The sequence below is a fragment of the Homo sapiens genome, chromosome 3, assembly GCF_000001405.40.
Source record: "Homo sapiens chromosome 3, GRCh38.p14 Primary Assembly".
Taxonomy (NCBI): Eukaryota; Metazoa; Chordata; class Mammalia; order Primates; family Hominidae; genus Homo; species Homo sapiens.
The window spans coordinates 131,401,197-131,407,619 of NC_000003.12; the positions used below are offsets into that span (position 1 = coordinate 131,401,197).

General features: G+C 38.0%; 1 long non-coding RNA gene across 1 annotated transcript; it reads right to left on the minus strand.

Annotated features, from left to right (window-relative positions):
• Positions 1–576: 576 nt before the first annotated feature.
• On the minus strand, positions 577–6,200 carry LOC107986025 (uncharacterized). Its single transcript, XR_001740496.3, has 3 exons — positions 6,122–6,200; positions 4,352–4,538; positions 577–3,671 (listed from the first exon to the last, which is right to left on the minus strand). It is a non-coding gene; the product is annotated as an uncharacterized LOC107986025 (long non-coding RNA).
• Between the last annotated feature and the right edge of the window lie 223 nt (positions 6,201–6,423).

Here is a 6,423-nt window from a genome sequence, read left to right on the forward strand (position 1 = left end):
GCTCTTTTCAACAATGAGTTCTGACTGGAACAAAGAATAAGGACTCACTCCCAGTGAGGATGGCATCAGACAGCCATTCATAAGGGGTCCATCCCCATGACCCAAACACCTCCCACCAGGCTCCACCTCCAACACTGGGAATCAAATTTCAACATGAGACTTGTGGGGTCAAATAAACTACACCCACGTTGTAGCAATATGGGAAGCCCAGAGTACTGTAGGTGCGCATAGGAGGGATTCCACTCAGTCATGGGGGTGGGAGAGATGGTCAGTGAGAGCTTCATGAAAAGGATATCTAAGCAGAATCCTAAAGCAATTATCCAGGTAAATGTGTATATGTATGTGTAGGGGTGGAATATGGGAAAAATGCTAACAAGCAACAGAATGCAAATGCTTGGAGGCAGACCCAAGAATCGAAAGAAATTGAGATGTCTGGGTCTCCTATTTGAGAGTTTGGGTATGGAAAGGATGTATTGAGTAGGGACCAGATCATGCAAGCTTTCCAAGCCACATTCTAAAGACTGAATTTTATCCTAAGATAATTGGGAAACCATTGAAGAGTGTTAAATAGGGTGATATTGTTAGATTTGCATTTTATTTTGTGAGTAAGTGGTTAGTTTTCTTTTTAACAGCTTCATTGTGGTATACTTTGCATAAAATAAACTGCACATATTTAAAGTGTACAATTTGATAAATGTTCACATATGTATATACCTCTGAAACATTCTTTTCCTGCTTCAGATTGCTAATACATTCTCACTTTAAGTTATATTTGTTGTTTATTTAAGCTCTTGCTCTATAAGTTCCAGTCAACGTTTGTTGTCTTTAGGAGACAGTTATATTACCCTGGGAAATCATGTTTCTGTTTTAATCTACCCTGCCTGGTAATGTGTTTTAAGCAGGAGCTGAATCCCTCCATGTGAGTTTAAGAACAGAGAAGGAATAAACCCCAGAGCTGGATGCTCCAGATACCACAGAATTCGATAGGCTACTATTTTTGGTACCACTCTGCCGGGCAACTCCTGTGGGCAATAGTCACCTAGATTAAAATCTGCCATCCCAGGGAGTTTGATGTGGAAGAGGTGGATGAGTGGATGTTAAATATCAGCTGGCCAGTCCTGTTTTCATCAACCCTCATCCCAACAGGGTTTTTGCAGTACATTTATGCACCCTGACAACACTAGCAGCCTGCGTTGATGCTGCCAGTTTCAATTGCAAAGGGACCAGCAAGGATTCATTTAAAGCCAGGCAGTGAAGAGGAAAAGGCAGAACCCAAAGGCTTTCCTCCACTATCCCCTCTGCCTGCTGCACATGCCCAGCTGTCTGCCCCAGCCTGCCACCGCTCATTCCTCACACTCCTACGCTAGACAGCCTTCTGTCTCTCCAGGGCATTCTCACCCTTTTGGGTGTCACTGATAATTTCCTCAGAGCTTTGATTGCATCTGCTTCTGGAGCTATCTGCAGTAAATTTAGGGGAAGGGAACCAGCAGCCCATTCTCGTATACCACCTTAACAGAAAGAGGAAGAGGCCTGAACATGTTCCTTATAGACACAATGCACCTCTGAGTCTACTTCCCCCATAAGAGTGGTAGGGAAGGCCGCCCACGGAGGCCTAGTCAAGAACCAGCACTTCTTACAGGAGAAGAAAAGATATTAAATGCTAGCCTTCCATTTTCCTCTCAAAGTAAACCTAAGTTAAATCTTTAAGGTAATGACTCAGAAACTCTGAAAAGCGTTTAATAATAGCTCTTGATGATTCATATGAATATTTTACTCTAAAGATGCTTATCTTGGAGGAATGTTGGTGTGAAACTTTCAATCCTAGGAAGTATGAGTACTTATTGTTTTGTGAAGTGATTATGATAATAGTAATTAATAACTGTGTTTCTCTATGCACTGCCAAAGAATTGGGCATTGCAAAAACACTCTAGAATAAAGTGATAAATAGATGGAGTAGCTAAAGACATTAATTAAGCTGCTTAAAATAAAGTACTGTTTCGTTCCTTTTTAACCCCAGTGTCTACAAACTTTACAAAAGAATCATTGAACTAATTGCTTGGGTAAATCCCAAGATTATAATTTGCAGAATTCTATTATTAGATAAAAATAAAACTCCAAGATTCTAAAATGCATTTGATATCAATGCTTAAGTTTGAGGCCAAACCTCTTCTAAATGATAGAGGGTTCTTCACCTGGCAATCTCGGCCTGGCCTGCTGCCAAGTGGCTGTGTGACCTAGGCCAAGTCACTTATCTCTCTGGGCCTCAGCTTCCTCATCCATTTCAGTTCACTGAAACAGACCTCTGGGCTAGTCCGCCATTCTCTTCACTGTCATGAAACCTATCCTTTCTGATATATTGCATGCTTTAGCAGACCCATCCCTGGAAAACTGTATGTAAAGACTGCTTTGGTATATCAAACTTAATTTTTCCCATGGGCTTAGGCCAGAGTTTTCTGAGGAGTGCCTCACACACTGGTGAACCACGAAAGTGACAGATGGCAGCATCATTGGTGCCCTCAGTTTTCAGGGTGGTTAGGCTGGAGTCCCCAGGACAACTCAGGATCTGAAGTAACCTCAGATACAAATACAATTTTTATGAGTGCTTGGATGTGAACATTTTTGGAAAGCCCTGTCTTCAGTTTATGAAGTAAGAGAAACACCCCCCACAGGAAGAGAAATTAAGAAGTCACAGAATGATACTTAAGATTTCAGCAAAACTTAAACAAACATGTGCAAACAAGCAGTACATTTAAATAAAAACTTTCAGATGAAATAGGGATAATCCTAAATATATGCTATAGTAATTCAGAAGAAAAGCCTATAAGAACCCTAGTAACTTTCATGGCAGATGTGGGAGAACTAGACAGGAGTTTTTCCCACTTATCTCTGAGTATGGCTGACATGAAAAAAGCTATCATGTTCCAAAAAACTTTTATAGAAACAAAGTCTACCTTTTTTTGTCCCTTTTATCACCTCATGGCACCTCTTTCTCTCCCTTTTAAAAATAGTCTGGTCCATTTCAGAGCACACAAGATGACTGGCTTTGGGTCTGGAGAGAGAAGGTCTTCTCTCAAATCCAATAACCAACAGTATAATACTGACAAGTTACTTTAAAGGAAGAAATAAAAATTCCTATAAAAATGTTTACCTTGTCCATTTCTAAATACAAATTTTGGGGTGACTTAAGATAAAAATAATAATTTTTTCAGCGTAATTATGGGATCTTCTTTTTCTTTGTTTCAAGTCATGCCAACCACAGAGATGATCTGAGAATGTGACATTTCACAGCATCAACATCCAGAGAGTTCATCTGATTCAACACTTTGATTTCAGATACAAAAACAAGGTTTCAGAGAGCTAGTTACCCCTAAAATGTATTTAATGAGTCCAGAATCCAGGTCTACTTAAAAATTTTACATTAGTTTCCCTTTCTCCCCAGCCTTTCCCTAGTTTAAATGGCATTTATTGTATATTTTAAAAATCTTTTGTTTTTGGCTGCCCAGCACATGAAGTTCATTTTTATTTGCAGGGAGCTCCCAACTTTTGGTCACCTTCCCAACAGAAGCTGAAAGTGTTAGAAGAGGGCTTGCTTACCTAGACTCCCTTGCAGCTAGGGCACAGACATGTGATCTATGCTCTGCCAATCTGATGCACCAGCAAAGACTTTTACTCTGGAATAGAAGGGAAGCAATTACTCTCAGACAACATTAGCACAGCGGCTTCCTCACCAGAACCAGTAATGAGATATCATTTGGGATCTGCCCTTTGGCCTTGAACTTGATCCTCCAGACACATCAACATTTTTGTGAGTCACAAGTATCTATTCAGTAAATTCTTTAGCCAGAATCTTCTATTCCTTGCAACTAAGACCCTTGACAAGTACAACCAATAATATTTCTATTTGTAAATCTTATCAAACACTTGCCATGTGCTAGGTATTGTTCTAAGCACTTACAAGTATACATTCATTTAATCCTCATGATAACTCCATGACATAGGTATCATGATTATGTCCGTTTTACTGGTGAGAAAACTGAGGCACAGTGAGGGAAATAATTTCAGATTAAGAAATGTTCTCAAAATTTTAAGCAATGACGAAGGAGGTCTAGGATTTGAACCAGGCTGTTTGGATCTAACTCTGAGCTCTTAATCACTACACATACTACTTCTCCCTAATTTTTTCTGATTACATAATTAGTAACTATAGAAATATTTAAACACTATAGAAGAGTAGAAGGAAGAAAATACAAATAAACCACACTCTATTGCTTATAGAAAACTATTGTCTACAATAGTTAAACTATTTAAGTTTAGCCAGTACAGTACAATTTACTTTCTTGGTCACACTAACCATATTCCAAGTGCTCAGCAGCTCAGGAGGCTCACGGCTACTGTTTTGGACAGTGCAGATGTAGCACATTTCTGTCATCTTAGAAAGTGTTAGTGGATGATGCTGGAGAGCCTGCTGGCATTCTCTCTTCATAGCCCTCTGTGGCTATGTACAGACACACACATAATTTTACATAAATGGTAAAAAGCTGTAGATAAAAGAAAATAAAGAAGAGCCCCACAATTAAAAACAGCTTTTAAAATATTTTTTCTCTTCCTTTGGCCTTTCCCCCTCTTCTCTCTAATAAACCAAGAGTGCATGACCCCTTCGATTCATAAAAGTTTTTCTCTAGGCTCTTACAACCATACAAAGTCACATATTCACATGCATAAGGCCTTGTTGTTGTTGATAAACACTTTTAGCCCACCTTCTTTTTTCACTTAATAAAACATTATGAAAATCATTCTAAGTTGGTCGGTACAAATCTAATTATCAGTGGCTGTGTGGAATTCCACGGTTCAGACATATGACAATATTTCCAATCTTCCCTTATTGATGTGCTTCTTTTCATTTTTTCTATCACAAGCAATGCCCAATAAACATTACTGGCCATAGATCCTTATAAACTAAAACTTCTATTTCTACAGGATTGATTCCCAGGAGTAGGATTGTTGGATTAAAAGGAATGCTTACATTTAATTTTAATAGCTATTGCCAAATTCTATCGAAGGGCTAGAATGATCTCCATGTCCTCCAGCAATGCATGAGTCTACTGTAATCTGCCCTCTCTTTTCCTCTTCTGTCTCCCCCTACTCCAGACACCCCCATCCTGGCCAGCACTGCATGCTATCACATCTTTTAATGACTCTCAGAATTATTAATGAATGTAACATCTGTGAACATTAGCATACCAAGGGTGGAACCGTGGGAGTAGCTGCCCAAGGTATAAACAATAAAACGTCACACTGTATGTAGAGGATACAAAAACAGTAATAAAACTGACTAAAAGTTGGTTTGCTTTTTATTATCACCAGACATTGGCCATGCTAAACAGTGTTATTGGTAACATATCCCTCCCCTCAAAAATCTTTCATTGGCCTAACTTCTAGGCAATTTCTGTGGTTACTGTTGAGTCTTAAGAATAGATAGAATACATATGTAAAGCTTCAAATCCCTGTTATGTACTTGGCCTCAAACATCCATGGACTCAGCTACACATGTTTGTTTCAAGAGTAAATTTATGAGGTTCTCAAAAATTCTCCCTAATTTCAGGTGTGGTTTACGTATGCAGCCATTGTGGTACCACACATTTTTGTGCTTAAACAGGAGATTTAAAATAAACCATGATAGCTGAACGCAATTTTTCTTTTTTGAGATTAAAAAAACCACAAAAATATTTCCAAACAGTTAGAATCAGTTTTGAATAATGTACTCTGAAGATACATTAGCACCAGGCTTTAAAATTGTTCCTTGAAGTTTGGTGCACAGAAATTGTGGAGAAGCCCACGAACAACGCAATAACCATGAAAAATAAGGAAATAAATAATTCCATAGAAAAACATAATCAAATGTTGAAGAAGAGTGCCAGGAAAAATGATAAAATGTGCTGGTCTTACAGTGCCAAGAAATCACAAGGGCAATATTTAAACACCTTGATTATTTTCACCAAGAACTAGACATTTACTCTACAGCAGAGGATCAAATCATGTCAGTGTTCACTATTCAATCATTTGTTAAGTTTTAGTAGAAGAGGAACCTTCAGAGATTTTCTAAAATGTAATAGAAACTTACAATGAGTTTTCTGGCAAAAATATTTTAGTGGAAGTGTTTCAACTGCAGAGACATTTGAAATCCACTGAGGTCAATCCTGAAGAAACAAAGATGTGAACAATGGTACAATTTCTGGAATTTATTGTGAAATGTGATTTTTATTAATCTCTAATTTATCTTTATGCTTAAGACTTTTCTAAAATTTATCTGTTGCTTTGTGTTAAAGAAACTTTCAGAATTAAAATTAATAATGGGTTTTTACTGAACTGTGAGTGAAGATAGGTGGAGAAATCTGGCTATTTCTTTAACATGAATATGCAAAT